This window comes from Homo sapiens, chromosome 4 (genome assembly GCF_000001405.40).
Source record: "Homo sapiens chromosome 4, GRCh38.p14 Primary Assembly".
Classification (NCBI taxonomy): Eukaryota; Metazoa; Chordata; class Mammalia; order Primates; family Hominidae; genus Homo; species Homo sapiens.
The window spans coordinates 79,727,524-79,748,684 of NC_000004.12; the positions used below are offsets into that span (position 1 = coordinate 79,727,524).

The 21,161-nt window shown below is 34.4% G+C and overlaps 1 long non-coding RNA gene across 3 annotated transcripts in view, besides 1 other annotated feature; it reads right to left on the bottom strand.

The window, feature by feature from the left end:
* LOC105377302 (uncharacterized) overlaps positions 1-16,818 on the bottom strand; it is a 47,430-nt gene extending 30,612 nt beyond the window's left edge. For 2 of the 3 annotated variants that reach the window (XR_938927.3, XR_938924.3), the window contains exon 1: positions 16,696-16,818. This is a non-coding gene — a long non-coding RNA (uncharacterized LOC105377302). Of the gene's footprint in view, positions 1-2,539; positions 2,583-16,695 lie in introns of all 3 variants that reach the window. The other variant, XR_938926.3, reaches the window with a different exon arrangement.
* Positions 72-366: a silencer, noted in NCBI's record as "tiled region #5843; HepG2 Repressive non-DNase unmatched - State 24:Quies". NCBI's record gives its function as "represses a minimal TATA promoter and a strong SV40 promoter by Sharpr-MPRA in HepG2 cells {active_cell/tissue: HepG2}" and the evidence as "EXISTENCE:reporter gene assay evidence [ECO:0000049][PMID:27701403]".
* Positions 16,819-21,161: the final 4,343 nt, after the last annotated feature.

Sequence of the window (21,161 nt, forward strand, 5' to 3'; positions counted from 1 at the left end):
ACCATCTTAACAAGAGCCCACCATCTTAAAGTATCAGGCTTTTATTTTTCAGAACTGTCCATTGCCACCTGATCAAATCACAAATGTCAACCCTGAGCATATCTTCAACATAACATAATGACCCTAATCACAACAAAGCTTACTGAAGTCCAGCCAACACTTTCCCAACCTCTCCTTGATAGGAACCTCTTTTAGAGCACACTTCCCCCACTGGGCCCTTTTTAAAAAGGATCAGACTGTAAGAGAAGTTTGCTCCTGACCCTGCCGGCCAGAAGCCCTTATCAGGTTTACTCTTAATAAACCTGTCTCAACTGTTGAGCCACCCTCTCATTTCATCTTCCTTCTTGTCTCTCCCTCTGTGCTAACAGTAATGAGGACTAAGCTCAGATATATATACATATTTATCTTGTCCAGATTCCTATCTAACTGGTCTGGGGAGTCATGCCCTACAAACCATAAGTTCTCATCAGATGGGTTTTATTTAACCCTGAATATTGTGACTTACTTTCCAATCTGACTCTGGCATAATGAGGAGGAAAATCAAAATGTTTTACCCCAAAACATGTTTCTCATCCATACTTAAAATTACCCTGCAAAGACTCTTATGGGAAAAATTCACGTTCTATAGAGAATCCCCTTTCCCCTGTGTTTTCTTTCCTTCCTTTCTGGATCCAAGAGATAATCACTTAAGAGCCAGGCATCCTTGTAAGTCTGATAAGAGATATTTTACAACTTGCTCTCTCTGAAGTCTGAGAGCTTCCTCTGCACAATAAAACTTGGTCTCCACAATCCTTTATCTTATCCTGAACATTTCCTTTCATCCCAGGTCTTCAAATAAACTCAACCAATTGTCAATCAAAAGATGTCTGAATTTACCTATAGCCTGGAACCCCCCGCTTCAATGTGTCCCGACTTTCTGAACCAAACTGATGTATTTCTTAAATGTATTTGATTGATGTCTCATGCCTCCCCAAAATATATAAAACCAAGCTGTACCCTGACGACCTTAGGCATATGTTCTCAGGATCTCCTAAGGGCTATGTCATGGCCACGGTCACTCATATTCGGCTGAGAATAAATCTCTTAAAATATTTTACAGAGTTTGGCTCTTTTCCTTAACAGTAATAAAATGATTAAATGTATTTTTTAAAAGTACAAAAAAAAAGAAAACAAAGGTTGCAATATAAATATTTGACAAAGATGGCTGTATATAAATGTGATAAAGTCCTTTTTAAGTAACTAGGAATATGATGCATAATGACAATCTCAGGAAACTGTATCCACCAAATTGCACTTTATTTAAATTGTTTAAGATGTAAGTAAAATTAAGCACTCCTTCCAATTCTTCTGCTCCCATCACCTTCCCCTAAACAATGAGGTAAAAATATCAGCTATAAACAATCTAAATAATTTAACTGTTAATGCTGAGGAAACAGTCTGTAGCTTTCAGTATATTATTAAAGTGCCCTAAAATAAGGTTAAAAATTACTGTTCTCAGACATCTTCTACTTTGTTCTGAGAGAGAGCACTAGTCTAGCCTTTCTTCCATAAACAGCAATAAAACTGTGCTATATATGAGATAAATGTTTTTATATATTTAACAATAAGCTGTACAGGACTATGATCCCTAAGCCCCATATTTCCTCTGCTCTCTGCATCTAGATAGTATATGCATCATGGCATAGGACTATGGAGCTCGTGTCCTGACAGGTTAAAGAGACAGAAATCACACCTTGGAGCTGATAAAATACCTAGATTCAGCAAAGCAGACACCAGTTAGAAAGTGGCAGCACAGGGGTGGAGGGGGACCAGAAGTCTGTTTGAGACTTCTCACAGTCCTTAGACAAGAGTTAGACTTGATGTGAACAAGACAAGACTACACAAGGTTTACTAGCAAGCAGCCACTATTAGGTTGAGTATAGAATGGGGATACTAAGGTAAGACAATGCCAGGGGATTTTTAAAGTCCTAGTCTACCCACCGGGGAAAGACTTTTAAAATTTCAAGCAGCCAGTTAAGATGCCAGAAAAGCCAAGATTTAGATTTAGGTGCTCCCAGAGTAAGGACTATTCCAGACCCACTATAACAAATTCTAAAACCAGGCTTGACAATGACTGCATTGAAGGCAGAGGTAAAAATCTGACCTGCCAAGTTATAAGGGCTTGGGATTTCCTTGAAATTTTTACAAATCATCTCTAACAAAACATTTTTTAAAAATCTAACTACATAAATAATTATAATAAAAGTGAATAAAAATATTTCAATGTCAGACATTATTAGAGTAGGTAAAAAAATCTAACTATAAAAACAAGATCGAACTATATGCTGTATATATGATACTCAGTTAAAATAATAAAGATGCAAAGGATGAAAATTCAAAAAAGTGGAAAAATAAATGCCATACATTACAAAAGCAAGTATGGCTGGCTATATTAATATAAAAATTGTAGAATTCAAAACAAAGTATATTACTAGAGACATTATATAATAACAAAAAAATTATTTATCAAGAAGACGTAACAGCCAAAATATGTACGTACCTGATGACAGATGATGAATTAGATGAAGTAAAATCTGACAGAACTAAAGGGAGAAATAGACAAATCCACAATCATACATTTTAACACCCCTCTCTCATAGAATAAACAAATGAAAAAAGAGTAAGTAAATGTATTACACTGGCAAGCAATACAGCTGTGATGGTTAATACTCAGTGTCAACTTGATTGAATTGAAGAATAAAGTATTGATCCTGGATATGTCTGTGAGGGTGTTGCCAAAGGAGATTAACATTTGAGTTAGTGGGCTTGGAAAGGCAGACCCACCCTTAATCTGGGTGGGCACAATCTAATCAGCTGCCAGTGTGGCTAGAATATAAGCAGGCAGAAAAATATGAAAAGAGATACTGGCCTAGCCTCCTAGCCTACATCTTCCTCCCATTCTGGATGCCCTCTGCCCTCAAACATCACACTCCAAGTTCTTCAGTTTTGGAACTCTGACTGGCTCTCCTTGCTCCTTAGCCTGCAGACAGCCTATTATGGGACCTTCTGATTGTGTGAGTTAATACTTAATAAACTCCATATATATATACACACACACACACGCACACACACATATGTATATGTGTATGTGTATATATATGTATATGTATATATGTATATGTACATATATTCCACTAATTCTGTCCCACTAGAGAACCCTAATACAACAACCTTAACCAATTTTGTAGAAAACTCTGGTACCCAAGAATTAATAATTTTTTTTTCCAAGTGCATATGGAATACTTTACAAGATAGACCATACTCTAGGCCTAAGTCTCTGGGAACTTCGAAAGATGAAAATCTTAGAGTATTTTATCTTACCCCAACAGAACTAAACTAGAAGTGAATGATAATAAAATACATAAAAACAAAAAAATCAAAATTAAATAACATAAATCTAAATAAGCTATGGGATGAAGAAGATATTACAAAGAAAATTTTAAAATATTTTGAAGTAAATGATAATAAAATCACATCCTGTTAAAATTTGAAGGATGAATACAGCTAAACCTATGTTTGAAATGAATTTTTTTACTTTTACAGTTATATTATAAAAGAACATTTGGCCGGGTTTGGTGGCTCACACCTGTAATCCCAGCACTTTGGGAGGCCGAGGCAGTCTGATCACTTGAGGTCAGGACTTCAAGACCACCCTGGACAATACGGTGAAACCCCGTTTCTACTAAAAATAAAAAAATAGCCAGGCTTGGTGATGCACGCCTGTAATCCTAGCTGCTCAGGAGGCTGAGGCAGGAGAATCACTTGAACCCAGGAAGCAGAGGTTGTAGTGAGCCAAGATTGCACCACCACACTCCAGCCTGGGCAATAGAGTGAGACCCTGTCTTAGAAAAAAAGAACATTTGAAGTTAATTATCAAGTTTTCCACTTTACAAAGTTAGAGTGGGGATAAAGCAAATTAAGCCATAAGTTATTGGAAGAAAGAAAATAAAAAAGATAATATCATGAATCAATTAAATTGAAACAGACTGATAATATGAAGATGAAAAGAGTTAAACATTAGTTATTTAAAAATAGTAATAAAGTTTATAATCTAGCAGGAATAATCAAGCATAAGAGGAAAGAAACACAGATTAGGAATAAATGAAAGAGGTGATATCACTACACATCTTAAATATATTACATAAGTAACAGTAAAATATTTTGAAAATATATATGCCAAAACATTCACTATCATAAATGAAATAAACAAATTCCTTGGAAAAATATGACTAGGCCAGAATCTATCAATGATAATTACTTCATAATCAGAAATCTTGTCACAAATAAAACTCAAGGCCAAATGGTTTTGCTAGTAAATTCTGTTAAAGATTTAAAGAAGAAATACCTTAATCTCACTCATAAATGAGGTTAATACGTTAAACCTCAGTTAAAGAATTTAAATTTTCAATTAAGAATTAAATTAAGCCTTTAACTTAAAGGTTTAACATTTTTAAAAGTGTTAAAATTAATAAAATCTTAGAACATAGGGAAATATTATCAAATCATTTTAAGAAGCCAGAATAACCATGATACCAAAACTAGACAAAAATATTGTAAGGAAAGAAAATTATCCTCTCCATGAACATGGTCTCAAAAACTCTCAGCAAACTATCATTATCAATTAGATAAATATGTAAAACGAATAACATACCTTGAGCAAGTGGAATTTATTCTGTGAAAACATGGTTATGTCAAAATTGGAATATCCAGCAATATAATTAACCACATAACAGAATAAATGTAAAAACACCGCATTATTTCAACATGTATGGAAAAAAACACTTAAAAAAATTCATTCATCATACATTTTTTTCAGAAAACTAGAAAAAATGTAGCTAGTATCATATGTAAAGCTGAGATATCACATATTTTTCCCTAAGAGGCAAGCCAAAGACATCTACTCTGTAACAAATGTTATATTGGAAGTCCCATTCAGTACAATAAAGGAAGAAAGAGAAGTTAAAACCATAAAAACTGGAAAATGAGAACTTTTATTCATAACAAAAACCATTTATTTAAACAAAATAATCATCTAAATAAAATTTCCTAAAGAATCTCAAAAAAAGCTACTAATATTTATAAGTGAATATAACAATGCCATAGGTTATGTAATCAATATAAAACATTAGTTGTGTTTTTACAGACTAGCAGCAAACAATTAGAAAATGTAACTAAATACCATTTTCAATAGTATCTTATATTTAAAATATTTATGTTAAAAAATTTTAACTAAAATCTATAAATCACTATACTGGAAAACAAAACAAAACAAAAGCTACTGTGAGAACTAAGGAACAGATAGGTGAAAGATATGTATTTAAAAGATACATAAAGTTTACGAATTTTTATGGTGTCTATTTTCTGCAAATTGATCTATAAATTCCATGTCACCTTGTTTAAAATCCCATTAGCTTTTTAAAATTGACAAAGTGATCTAAAATATGAAGGGGCTAAGATAGCAAAAAAATCTTGAACAAGAACAAAGTTGAAGAGCTTACATTGATTTCAAGACTTGGTATTCAAGATATCATGATATGGCTATAAGAAAAGACATAGTTCAATAGAACAGAGAGTTCAGATATAGACTCACATATATACAGTCAAACTACATTTTTTTACAAAGATGTTAAGGCAGCTCAACATTGGAAATTTAGTGTTTTCTCAACAAATGGTGCTGGAGAAATGGAAGTGTGACTAGAACAAAGTGAACCTCAATCCCTGCCCTACGTCAAACTCAAAAATTAATCTATAATAGACAGTAGATCACAATTTACACAACAGAACCACAAAACTTCTAGGTATAAACATTGGAGAAAATCATACCTTTGGTGTTAGGCAAATATTTCTTAGATTATACCTAAAGAAAAATATTAAGCATTAAAGAAAAAAGTGACAAGTTGGATTTCATCGAAATTAATAACTTCTGCTCTTTATGACATCAGGAAAATGAAAATAGAAACAGGTTATTTTTAGAATTTGATATATGTGTATCTGACAAAGAACTTGCATTCAGGATACATAAAGAACTCCTACAATGCAATGAGTTTGACAACTCTATTAAAACATGAAAAGAAGACTTGGATGGGCACTTCAAAAAAGAAGATACGCAAATCACTAATAAACACATAAAAAGATGTTTAACACCGTTAGTCAGAGAAGTGAAAATTGAAACCAAAATATTATACCCCGTCTTTATCTACACTATAATGGCTAATTAAAAAGACTAACTCCCAAGCATTGGTAGAGGATATGGAACAACTGAATCTCCCATATTTTGCCAGTAGGAATGTTAAAGGATGCAACCACTTTGAATAACAGCTTCCCAGTTTCTAATAAAGGTAGCCATATATTTACCATTTGGCAGAATTCACTCCTGGGTATTTACCCAAGAGAAAAAAAAAACTTACATCCACGCAGACTTACACACAAATGTTCATAGTAGTTTTAGTCATAATACACTAAAAGTAAAACAACAAAAATGTCCATCACCAGATAAATGGATAAACAAATTGTGGTATATTGAGATAATGAACTTAGCAATAAAAAGGAAAAAACTACAAATACACACAATAACATGGATGAACTTCAAAATTATGCTGAATGAGAAAGTAGACACAAGAGTACATACTGTATGATTCCATTCATGTGATGTTTTAGAAAAAAAGCAAAATTAATTTATAGTGATGGAAATCAGATCTTTGGTTGTCAGGGATGGAGTACAAGGTAATTTTTAGGGTGATATAAATATTCTATATTTTGATTAGGTTGGCGTATTAGTCCATTTTCACACTGCTATAAAGAAATACCTGAGACTGGGTAATTTATAAACAAAGGGAGTTTAATTAACTCACAGTTCTGCATGGCTGAGGAGGCCTCAGGAAACTTATAATCATGCTGGAAGGTGAAGGGGAAGCAGGCACCTTCTTCACAAGGCAGCAGGAGACAGAGAAAGTGCAGGAGAAACTGCCACTTTTAAATCCTTAGATCTCATGAGAACTCCCTCACTATCACGAGAACAGCATGGGGATAACCACCTCCATGACCCAATCACCTCCCACAAGGTCCCTACTTTGACACGTGGGGATTACAAATTGTGATGAGATTTGGGTGGGACACGGAGTCAAACCATATCAGATGGTATATTACCTTAGTTTATACATTTTTCAGAACTCATTGGGCTGTATAATTAAAACATGTACATTTTATTTTATGTGTATTATGCTTTTATAATACACATAAAATACACAAAGTTTATCTTTTAAAACTATTGTTCTTAGTGTGTGGAACTACATTAGAATCAAGGGAGATCTTGTTAAAAATATAGCTCCCTGGGTTCTTCGTCAGTCTTATCATTCCTTGGTGTAGGGGATAAGCCACATTTAAACATGTTCTTCAGGTGATTCACATGTACACTGAAGATTAAGGACCACCATTCCAGAGAGTTAAAGGATTTAAATATTAAAACAGCAACAAATTTCTGTATATAGAATGATGAAGTCATGAAGCAAAAATATTGGACTTTTAAATATCACATTATTTGGATATCAAAGTCTAATTTTAGGATATTACAAAAGTCATATTTTTAAGTATCTAAAGCAGAGGTATTTTACCTGAAATAAATCAGAGCTAAAGGAAAAAAGCTCTACACTTGAAATTGATAAAGCTGGAACTGAAAACTTACAATTTTCTCTTTACATAATAAGATAATTTTTGAACCACTCAAACAGTAGACACAACAGAATATTTGATATTAACTGAGTGAGGACATTTCTTATGATTTTATATATTTATATATTTTTTGGTTAAAATAGCTTCCTTGAGATACAGACAACAAATTATTGTATTAATATGAAAATTGTTTCTGTTCCTTTTTTGGTTTCTAAGGTAATTAAAACCAGCAAAGTGCAAGAGGATAATCTTCATTTTCATTCCATCGCACATTTCTACTATAAACTGATGTCTTGTCCAGTGGTGTCATTGAAATGGATGTTGGTAGATCCCATGAGATTCATGTAAATACATCCTTCTGATTTCACAAGAGGCTCTGGAATTAATGTGCTTGAATATCAGAAGAATATTCTTCCATTACTAATAAAAATAAATAATAGATATGAATTTAGAATTAGGTGTCATATTATGAAGTCAAAAAGCGTGGATAGGGTGGGCATCAGCAAGTACTGAGCATTTCTCTCCCAATATCTGGATAACAATGATGCCTCTGCTATAGATCAGTAGCTTTGTATTTTTTCTGGGATAACAGCATAGGGTTACTTTAAAAAAAAAAAAAAAGCTATTCTTGAGCCTTTTTTGGGAAACTCAGGTACATATAACTTTCATAGGTACCAAGGATGATAGGTACCTCTGAAGGATCATAGGAACCTAGGATGATAGGTACCATCCTATCATCTGTCTGACTGATGATAGGATGACAAATCGATTAGTTAAAAAGTAGAAGAATTTACTAAAATCTGTTTTTTTCTATAAGTGGATTGTTTATTATTATTATTTGAGTGATTGATTTTGTCTCATTTAGAGTTAACTTTCTCCTTTAATCAAAACCCTGACATCACCAGTGAGCTCTTTTTTTTCTAAGTCTTTCTTTTTATTAGCATTCTTTTTATTATATATATTTAAGGTGTACAACATGATGTTTTGATATACACAGTGAAGTAGGCACTATAGTCAAGCAAATTAACACCTCCATTACCTTGCATAGTTATCAATTCTTTTGTGATGAGTACCTAAAATCTATTATTTTAGCAAATTTTCAGTATTTATACAATATTGTTATCATAGTCCTCATGTTGTACATTAGAAGTCTAGACCTATTCATCCTACATATTTGCATCATATGCCCTTTGACCTATGTCTCCCCATTTCCCCCACCCCACTCTTAGTAATTTATTCTGTTTCTATGTGGTCAACTTAAAAAAATAGATTTCACATGTAAATGAGATGATGTATGATATGGTTTGGCTCTGTGTCCTCACCCAAATCTCATGTTGAATTATAAACCACAGTGTTAGAGAGGGGCCTGTTAGGAGGTGATTGGATCATGGTAGCAGATTCCTCCTTGCTGTTCTCATGATAGTGAGTAAGTTCTCAGGTGATCTGGTTGTTTAAAAGTGTGTGGCACCTCCCCCTTCTCTCTCTTCCTCCTGGCCAGCCACATAAGACATGCCTCCTTCTTCCTCACCCTCTACCATGGTTGTAAATTTCTTGAGGCCTCCCTAGCCATGTTTCCTGTACAGCCTGTGAAACTGCAAACCAATTAAACCTTTTTTCTTGATAAATTACCCAATCTCGGCAGTTCTTTATAGCAATGTGAGAACAGACTAACACAATGCAGTAGTTTTTTCTATGTCTGGCTTATTTCACTTAGCGTAATGCCTTCCAGTTTCATCCATGTTGTCACAAATGGCAGGATCCCTTTCTGTTTTAAGGTTGAACAGTATTATTTTATAACACACACACACACACATCACAATTTATCCTTTTATCAATCAACAGACACTTAGGTTGTTTCCATGTCTTAGCTACAGTGAATAATGCCACAATCAACATGCAAGTACAGATATCTCTACAAGGTGCTGATTTCATTTCCTTTGGCTATATACTCAGAAGATGGATTGCCGGGTCATATGGTAGTTCTATTTTTAATTTTTTGAGGAATCTCCTTACTGTTTTTCATAATTCCTACACCAATTTACATTTCTACCAACAATATAAAAGGGTTCTCTTCACATTATTGCCAACATTTGTTATTGCCTATCTTTTTGGTAATAGCCATCCTAACAGGTATGAGGTGATGTTTCCCTGTGGTTTTAATTTTCATTTTCCTGATGATTAGTGATGCTGAACACTTTTTAATATACTCCTTGTCTACTTTAATGTCTTTTTTGGAGAAATGTCTATTCAGATCCTTTTCCAAATTTTAAAAATCTAGTTATTTGTTATTTTGCTATATAATTATATGAGTTCTTTATATATTTTTAATATTAATCTCTTATCAGATAAGTGGTTTGCAAATATTTTCTTCCAACCTGTAGGCTCCATTTTCATTACATTGTTTCCTTTCTTTTGTAGAAGCTTTTAATTTGATATAGTCCCACTTGGTTTGGTTATCAGAGCTTTTAGTGTGGTATCCAAAAATTCATTGCCAAGTTCAAGGTCAAAAAGCTTTTCCCCTACATTTTCTTCAAGGGGTTTTGTAGTTTCAGGTCTTAGGTTTAGGTCTTTAGTCCATTTTGAGTTGATTTTTGTATGTGACATAAGATAAGAGTCTGATTTCATTCTTTTCAGATCCTTTTCCAAATCTTAAAAACCTAGTTATTTGTTATTTTGCTATATAATTATGAGTTCCTCATATATTTTTAATATTAATCCTTTATCAGATAAGTGGATATCTAGTTTCCTCAATACCATACAGATAAGCTTCTATACAAATATATAATTTACCAAAACCCAAACGAATAAACATATAGTTTAAGAAGTAATCCATGTACAAAATATTATTTGCTCTTATAATACATAATTGCTTTAAAAGTTGATTTACCTCAATGACCAGCTAACAATTTCCCTTGCTTTGACGTTGCCCTCTAGGGTCTATGGGACCCTTTAAAGCACAGGACTCACTGCCCCCTTTCTAACTTTACTACTCCCCGCTCTTTCTCGCTGGGCTGTAGCTATGTTGAAATGAACCACTGCTGTTCCAGGAATACCAGGTATGATCCCATCTTTGGGACACGGGGCTACTGTTTTCTCTGCTTACAACACTGTTTCCTCAGATATTGCAGAGTTAACTCCCTTACCTCTTTTGACATTTTGTCCAGCATTACCTTCTCAATAAGACCTGCCTCACAAACCCTATTTAGAACTATAATCTGTCCCTATCCTACTCCTTGCCCTCTCAATTCCTTTTACCTTGACCTAGTACTCAACATTAATTCCCTATATAATTTACTTAGGTATTAACTTTATTGATTACTGTCTTTTTCCCCTCTGCCCACCTGGAATGTAAGCTCTAGTAAGGCAGGCATTTTCATTTTATTGATAAATCCTCAGTGCCTGGAAGTAGAAGTGTGACTGACATATAGTTGGTAATAAACTTAATATGTATTTATTGAATGAATAAATTCTATGGAAGATTTACAATGATTAAATTGTCAGAATTTCTATATTCAAGACTTACAGGAACACAGCTACTGAATACCATAACAAATGCTATTTTGTGAAGTGTTTAAATTTTTAGGTTTCTGAAATATCCTTTCCATTTATAGATGTTTCATAAAGAAGATCTGAAGTTCCCACTCCAAAATTGGCCCTTTTGGTTAGTTAAGAAGATGAGGGTATTGTCTAACAAAGAGTTCTCACTGAATAATAATCTCTGGAATGGAGGGAAGGAAACTTCATAATGCTGTAAGAGATTATTTCATCTGATAAGCTACAATAATTATAACATTGTAAGACAGACTCAAAAGAAAAACTTAAAGCCATTTATCAATATTAGCTGAAGACACAATTATTATGAATACTTTGTATATGTTGATGAACACCTATTTATGTTGATCCAAATGGCCTTAACATTCCCCAGAGTTTGACTAAATTTTAGACAGGCTTCTTCCTGACTATAGGCCTCTGACCTCCCTTTTCTTAGAATATTTACTTCAGAAAACTTGTAAATTCTTTCTCTGTTCTTATGAAATGTAAATCTCTCAATCTCTTGCCAGTTCTGCAATACAGGAATGTTTTTCTCAAGGACCTGAGGGCTGTCCTTTTGAAATGGAGTTATCAAGAAATATAGGGCTCCTATTCTCTCCCTCACTAAGGGAGGGTAGGAGCCTAACTTCAATAAGTACCAGTAAGCAAGCACAGATGCCCACATTGACCAAGCTCCCCCTAAGACCCTCCAGGACTTCTTTTCTAGCTCATCCCAGTGTTGAAAACTCTCTCACCTTTTGTTACAGTAGAATTGAGTTCAATCTGTTTCCCTATTACAATACTCTTGAATAAAGTCTTCCTTTGCTTGTTTTACTTATCTCATGCAATTATTTTTTGACAATTCTTTCTTTGATTTTATATCTTTCCAATTTTTTGTTTAAATATTTATTATTTATTTTTGTTAGTAATGGATTAACAACTTCTGCTGTACATCAAATTATTTTATACTTAGTATATTAGTAACACAAATCTAACAAAATGCAACGTGTTTTTATGATCCTAAGTGATGAGATAGCGCACAGATGAGATTCACTCAGTTGTTAAGATTTGGTGTAAAATGTTCCCTGAATGAATGAATTCTAGTAGAAGAAAATTTGGGAGCCATTAGGTTCGGAGAGGCTATTTTGGAGCAGGAGGTTTTAGAGGTTAGAAAGGATGTTCCCAGTGTGACAGCACTGTTGAGTGCAGCATGGAATTGCAAGTTTAGTATTAAGTAAACTACAGAAATTTTTGCTACTGGATTGTAAAATAGAAACGAAATGCAATATGTTTCTATTCAGGAATGTTCTGACGGCTTCCATATTAAATAGAGCATAGGTGAGTAATAGAAAGCATAGGATTTCAAGTCAAAATAAACAGTTTGAATGTCAGCTTTGCCACTGACTAACTGAATAATTCTGAGGAAATTACTTAACTTCTTTGAATCTTTTTCCTTATCATTGAAATGGAGATAATAATAACCACCTCAGAAAGTTTTTGGGAGGACTAAATGCGGAAATGCAAGTGCCTGGATTAGAACAAGGCCCCAGTAAATGTAAATATTTACTCAGTTACTTTGATCCTAGTAAGATACAGGATTTAATTTCTACTCTCAAAGATCTTCCAGGTTTTCTGGGAAATAAATCAAATGAAAATATCAGGAATGCATTTGTGAATTCAATAAATTTTTATTGAGTACCTAATATTTTCCAGCCACTCTTCAAAGCTTGGGGAATATAGCAGTGATCCATGCAGACAAGATCCCTGTCCACACAGACAGACTTCACATTCTAGTGGGAGTAACAGACAACATACAAATGTAAAACGAAATGTTTAATTTCTGATAGTGGTAAATGGTATAAATAAAAATACATTAGGAAAATTACACAGATATTGGTAACAAGGGCCAAGGTAGGGAGACATTACTTAAATCATGTGTTCAAGGGGTGACCCTTTGAAGGCCATTTGAGGAGAGACCTGAACCAAGTGAGGGAACAAACTGTATAAAGGTCTACAGGGGAAGAGCATTCCATGAGAAAAAAATATTTAGGGTAAAGATCCTGAAGTAGAACAAACTTGGCATGTTGAAGAAATAGAAAGAAGCCAGTGGACAATGAGTGTGCTTTCTAAATTGGTAAGAAAGAAATCTTTAATTACATGAAACAACATTTATGAAATCATTGTCTAAAAGTAGTTGCACACAAAATACATTAGTTCAACATAAGCTTTTATGGGTAATTTTTGTGCTAGATCCTGGAAGTATATTTAAAATATATGAAATTGTCTTTGCTATCATAAAGTCTATGGTCTAGTATTACATTTTCATCATTATTAATCTTTATAGTTTATTTATGCTAAATTTTGACTACAATCTAGCCAAATCTAATAGCAGAGCTTGGAATGGGGCTTTACTGTATTTGATAGAAAAAAAAGAAAGTACAGACTGTGTAGTGCAATGCTCTTTTTGAGGTCATAGAATTATATACAGGTCTATAAGAGGACCTAAGACGTAATCATCGTTTTTAAGTTTCAAGTTTTTAAGACAAGCCTCCAAGTCAATTTTGAATATTTTACAATAAGGAAAAATGTTAGAAGTTAAATATGATTTACTAGGACTTATAAAAATCATGGCTGAATGGGGACTTAACTAAATGATAGCCTTCTCTTGTTTCTATACATTTATGTTTAGTTTTATAGAGTATTTTAAATATTTGTATGTACTTTGTATATAGTTGAGAATTGAATGAAAAAGATTTACAGAAAAAGGGAAATCAAGATTATTGAAAAAGTGGAATCAATAAGAAGAAAGTGAATATTAGTGTTAGCATAATTTACTAATTATTATATACATTTCATATAATAATTTAATACATGTGTGACTTAAGATAAGCCAGTAGAACCAAAAATACAGAAGAGTATTAAAGGCATATCTAAGGCCAGAAATCCTGCAGCTGCAAATGCTTAAAGAAACAATTTTGTAGACTGACAGATCTATAGGAGCATATCCAAGAATTCTTAATAGAGGTGATCATTCATTCAACAAACATTTATTGAGTAAGCAAGACAGTAGATGAAAATCTAAAATCTGTACAGCTCTCTACATAACACATTCACATATATCATTCCATTTAATACTTGTTTCAATCCTGTGAGGTGTGTATTCTTATGAGGAGATATTCCCCTATGATTTCTTCAAGGAGTTTTACAGTTTCAGGTCTTAGGTGAGAGCTTTGACCCACTTTAAGTTAATTTTTGTTATTTTGTGGTATAAGATATGAGTCTAATTTCACTATTTTGCCTGTGGACATTTAGATTTCCTAACACCAGACAGATAAACTCTTATATAAACATTAAATACCAAAACCAGAAATTCAAAAGACTTAACATAAATGACCTAGGTCATTTATTAGTAGGTAGAAATGCTGGATGTGAAACCCAGATTCTTCAGCAACACATTCCCTGACCTTTCCAGTACACGATGTTAACTTTCCTATTCGTCTTCACAAGGTCAATACTGTATAGGGCATTCTTCTTCCTATAACCTTAATTTTATTTGATTAAGAGTTATTTTTATCACCAAAAAAAAAGAAAAGGCTAAATATCTTATATAATGTTTTGGATCCAAGTGCCAAGTAGCATACATGTGGTGGAGGGAGAGAATGATATTGAAGAGAGGAGGGAAGTGGGAAAATTCATTTTAATATGTTGAACAGTAAAAGGGTAAAGCAAGAGAATGAGAGGAGGGGAAAAGTGGTAACAGGGCAACAAAAGACGTAGGCACATACTGTGGAAATTTCTTTTGTTTGCTGTATTTTGCAAGTAGCTTTGGTTATTTTAGTCTGTAAAAATATTACCCAGAGAAAAGCATGATAATCCCAGATATCTTACTGCATAACCAACATCAATTTCCCCTAAATTTTGCAGCATCATCTTCAATCCACTCCCATGGCTTTAGTTAACACATCTCAGCTGCTAACTTCATAATTTTGATCTCCAGATCCAACTTCTCTAAGAATACTATATCTCCAGGTGCCTACTGAAAAAAAAAATCAACTTGAACAATTCTTTAAATTCAGCAAGTCCAAAATCAAATTTATGATCTCTGAGAAAATGTCTTATTTCTCTTCCTGTTTCCTTCTATATCTTTCACTTCTCTAAGACAAGGACAGCTACTTTTTTTTTTTTTTTTTTTTTTTGAGACAGAGTCTTGCTCTGTCACACAGGCTGGAGTGCAATGGCATGATCTAGGCTTACTGCAATCTCTGCCTCCTGGGTTCAAGCAATTCACCTGCCTCAGCCTCCCAAATAGCTGGGATTACATGTGACTGTCACTATGCCCAGCTAATTTTTTGTATGTTTAGTAGAGACGAGGTTTTGCCATGATGGCCAGGCCAGTCTCGAACTCCTGACCTCAGGTGATCCACCTGCCTCGGCCTCCCAAAGTGCAGGAATTACAGGCATGAACCACCGCGCCCGGCCAAGGACGGCTATCTTTCTACCTGAGACTTGCAAACCCAGACTCTGTGCAGCTCAGCATTTTCCTCATCCCTACATCCATTCACTAATCCTATTCTTAAGTTTCGTGAAATGTTCATAAATCTATTCTTCATTGGCCTTCTCCATCCTCATTGACCTGGTAATTTCCTCATTATTTCCTGGATTTCCTGAATGACCATAAGAGCCTCTTAATTTTTCTTTCTGCCTCTATCCCAGTCTTCACACTGTCGGTAGAGGCAACTGTTTAAAACACAAATGTAATCATGTAATTTTCTTGAAAGAAATTCTTATGATACCCCCCACTTCCCACAAGATAAAGCGTGGTTTCTAATTTTTTAGCATGGTTTCTAACGCCCTGAGCAAGTTACACTCAACCTTTTTTATACCATCCAAGGCCCCTTCTACTCATAGCCAAACCAAATTTACTTTTTTGCTTAAAAGTCAAAATGTCTTTGTCTGAATCTTAACTCTACCAAAGCAGAACTGTTGGTTTCCATGTCATCCTCCAATTCTCTTTCCTGTCCTCTTTTATATTTTTTTTCCATTTTGATAAATGTCACTTTTTAAAACTAATGGAATTAGGTTCCAAAATCTACAAGTCATCCTTAATTTCTCTCTTTTTTCCAGTCCTTATATGAAAATATATCACTAGTTCCTGTCAACTGTTCTTCCAAAATATAATCCCACAATCTGACTGCTACTCACAACACTCTTATAACCTCCCTGGTCTATCTTTCTCCTGGATAATTGATTGCAACAGGCACCTACTTGCTCCCCATGAATCTGTTCCTGCCTCTCTGTAGCCTATTCTTTGCAGAATAGAATGATCATTCAAAAATACAAATACCTGATTTTTCCCATTCTTGAACTTTTTCAGAGCCTTCTGATCATCATTAGAATAACATCTACACTCTTCACTGTGATCTATAAGATGTAAATGACTGGCCCCAGACTACTCACCAAATGCTGCCACTTCCTTCCATGTATTCCTCATGTACCGATGGCTGCACTTTCTGTCCTGTGGATTTGCCAGGGATATTCTCGCCACAGAGCTTTGCAGTTGCTGTTCCTCCAGTTGGAAATGATTTGATCTCAGATCTTCTCATGCTAATACAGATCTCAACTCACATGACACCCCTTAGACAGCCTTTCCCTGATCACATCTAAAGCTGCCTTCATGGCATGACCTCATTTTTTTTTTCTTCAAAACAAAAGATCATTTTTCATGATGCTGCTTCTCTCTTCACTCTCTCTCTTTTTTCTTTTAAACACTTATCGAGGTCTGGAGTTGTCTTATTTATGTTCATTGTTGGTCTCCTCTCCCATTTTCCCTTATGACTTAGAAGGTACGCTTTCTAAGGGCAATAACTCTATTTACTTTGCCTACTGCTATATCTACAGTGCCTAGAAGTGTCTCAAACATAATAGGTGACCAAGAGATATTTTCAGATTGTCTGACTGACTGACCCAGAAATATACAGACAACTACTTTTGAAGCACAAATCCATGCTATCTGAGAGTCATAATGAATTGGCAAGCTGCTTCATAACATGTCACTTTCTCACTTATCACATCACCTTTCATGCTAAGTAATAAAATGTTTTTAAGGTATAATGGGGAAATGTACAAGCTTGGGTATCAGGAAGACTTAGGTTTGAATTCTAGCTCTGCATTGACTCAGTTACATCATTTAGAAAATAAAGAAATGTTTCCTTCTTTTCACAGTTATTCAGATCATGTGTGATACATATTTACATTATAAAAATTTCCTCCCTCCTTCCTTCCCCCCGGTCTCTTTCTTTTTTCCCACTTCCTTCTCCTCTTCCTATATGATTTAGAACGTGTTTTTGCAAAGGAAGGTGTAAAAGAAGAAGAAGAAAGAGGAACATATCCACATATTAATTTTAAAATGTCTCCTTGTACAGCTTAAAAATCACACTGTCTGGTTTGGAAAGTGATCTTAGGGTTCATCTAGTCTCCTCTATGATGTTTCAATATCCTCTATAATTTCCCAGCACAGTTATTGTCCAGCTTATGCTTAAACAGCTCTCGCAAGGAAAATTCTACCCCTAATACTATCTAGCCACCAAAAAGTATTATAAATTATGTATCAGACCATGTACAATTGTAGCATCAGCTAATATTAAAAATAGTTTTCAAAGTACAGAAAATTCATTAAATTAGTGAGTCCCTTTAAAAGGAAAACTTCAAGTATTTTGCAATTTATCAAGACCTCTAAGGTTGTATTTTTACTGATATTTTTAAAATAAATTCTGATAACATCAAACCTATAAAACGTTCATCACAGACCAAATACCTCCCTAACCTTTTAAGCTTTCACAGTAAAAACTGTCTTTTTTATTTATATAAGTTTGAGAAATATACAAATGTAATCATAACCCCCAAAGCAAAATTTTATGGCAATTTTCAGAACTCTTCACTATAAAAACTACTCAAACCTACAAACATAAAAGTTTCCAATAAAATTTGTTTTAGATACTGGCAATAAAACACTCTTTGCTTGCCTCTTAACTCCAAATTTTGGAGCCACAGCTGTCCAAATGCCAAAGATATATTCTACCTCTCCCAGATACACATACACCAAACTTTTAATCTCTCCCAAATGAAAACACCAACTATTATTAGTTATTAAACATCACTAATATTTCATACTTAGCAAATGTGTATTAATGGAAATAAAAGCAAAAATAGGTCCTAGTAAAGAAATCACAATGAAAATGATACATAAATCACTAATGTATCTTTAAGCAACTACATTTTACTTTTAAAATAATGTCCTCATGCTTTCACCCAAAAATGTTTGTGATTTTGAACCCTGAGTACATTTCATAATTAAAATGTAAATAATAAGGGACAAAAATGTGCATGTAAACATTGAAGTGATTCATATTGGAAGGTCTTCTGAAATTATGTGTATGTGCTACATTAAGGGCATTTGGAAAGCTGATTTCCCTCCCATTCTGGTCCTACCAATACTACTGGAAGGTACTACCAGTGGTTTCAGCACCCAGAAAACACCCAGCAGCCTCCTAGCTCTGGACTCTTCCAACTTACCAGCATGGTCATTTCAGCCCTCAGGTCTTGAAGTCATTTGATTTTATCCATTGCTCTGATCTCTATTTCTTTAAGAGATCACACAAAATATAAACCAGGCCCTTTTCTATAACATCAGCATATTGTGCACTGTGGATGGAGCTAGGTGGTATATTGAAAATGCCCTGCACTCAATCCATTCCTTACATAGATGTTGTTCTTTTGTTTTAGGGAAGGAATGTTGTATGGAGACATGCACAGACTTTGGCACTCAGCCCTGCCACTTTCTAATTGTATTAGCTTGGCAAGTTAACCTTTACCAAGTGACAATTTTTCTCATTTATAAAACTGTGAGTAGTTTCCTTCTCTTTGTCTTATTCCTGACCCTATGGTGTCATTGCTAATCTTTCATGAAACTCTTTCAACGATATACTTGGTCTCTCTTTAAGTATACTCTCCATCATAATTCAGATTCAGCAAAGCAAACCCTGAGACAAAGATTCCTGTACAAGTGACTCACTAGGGAAAAACTACTAGGAGAGACCTGCAAGGAGATGTGGGAAACAGGCAAGGAGAGAGAAGAAGGCAACCAAGGGTCCACTTTCAAGCAATGAATTGGCCTCACCTGATGTCACAGAGTTTGGGAGCATAAATTACACATATAAGTTTGTCCCCATCATAAGGTTGCCCAATGAAGTACAAGACATCCAATTAAATCTGAATTTCAGATCAACCATTAATTCTAGCAAAAGTATGTTTCGAGTATTGCATGCAACAAACTTTTACTAAAAAAAGTATTTGCCATTTACCTGAAATTCAAATTTAACTTGCCATCCTGTGTTTTGATTAGTAAATCTGGGAACCCTAAGGGTTGCTGGGCTTTCACACTTAGGGCTGTGAAGGTGGGGAGATGGGCACTGGGACATGGGCAATTAAGGTTCATAAAAATGGTAAGAGAGATTGAGTGGGATCTGAGTGGAGCACAAACAGTGTCTGTTAGTGTCTTCTATTTCCTCATTTTCTTCAGAAGAAACTCCTTCCACCTCCTTTCCATTTTGGAAACTTGGCCCATCTCCAAAGAAAGCACACTTCTCTTCAGTGGAGCCTACTTTTTCTCTGTGACAAAAATGGCTCTCTACAGTTCTTCACTGTGGAAAGATTTATGGCTTCCAGATTACAAGTTCATTGCTCTAACTCACTAGAGGTGAAGTCTTTCTTCTTTGAGCTCTGCCTATTATTGCCTTCTATCCCCTTGCAGTTTTACCTACATCCAAGGGACTTAACTAATTCACTGATAACAGTGGCATTCAGGTCACAGGTTTACTTGAGCCCCAATTTCTGCCACAATCTTAGTTACAATTTTGTCAGTTAAGTAGATTTGAAGTTCCATGATCACTTCTCCATTTCCACAGCATGTCTTTGTAATTTCACTCTTATCTAATCATCATTGGGAATTGCCCCATCCCTGAAAGCTTCATTAGCCACCTTAAAAATACTGTTGTTTATTCAGTTTTCACTCCCTTACTCCTACTGTATTAGGCCTTAGACTTAATGGAGACCTTTCCTAATCCATTGACTCCTCCTGAATTACTTTCTTCTCTCATCACCCACACATTTCAGTCTTTCCTCAATATTTATAGACCTTCTCAATAGCCTCATCCACTTTGCATTCTGCTACACACACCCTGAAAGACTTCAAACCCCGTCAATGCAAACACCTCTCCTCTCCATCCTTCCAGAATTTAGCTGAGAGATTACCAGGATATCATGTGTATTGGGAGAGCAAAACTTTCACTAATAATGACAGGAAAAAAAATGTAAATCTTACTGAAATTGACTACATTATATATTGCTACAACATAGCATTTCCAGTGATTGGCATTTGAAGTACAAAGATACTGTGATACATTGCAATTTTTCTTTAGGGGTCATGTGACATTTAAGATGAAAAATATGAGATTGAGTAGAATAGAAGCATGAGTCTCTATACCTAGTAATTTATGTCATAATATAATTTGAAAACACTGTGTTAAAAAATGCCAAATCTATGTTAAGAATTATACATTAAAAATATACATGGGAAAAATATAACTAATAATATTGCTTTAAAATTAGGCTTGAATTTGACCCCTTTTTTCAATAACATTTGATTACATTTACTTATTTTGTAGTCTGAAAGGATAAAAGAGGCAGAAGAAATAAAGATAAAAAAAGAAAGCAAAATCAGAGGGGCAGAGCAAAATGGTAGGATGGGACTCTCCACAGAGACATCAATTTGAAAAATTATCCATGCACTAAAATACTTTTTCACAAGAGCTAAGGAAATCAGGTGAGAGATTATAGTAAGTGTTTGCAGCACAATAAGAAAAGAA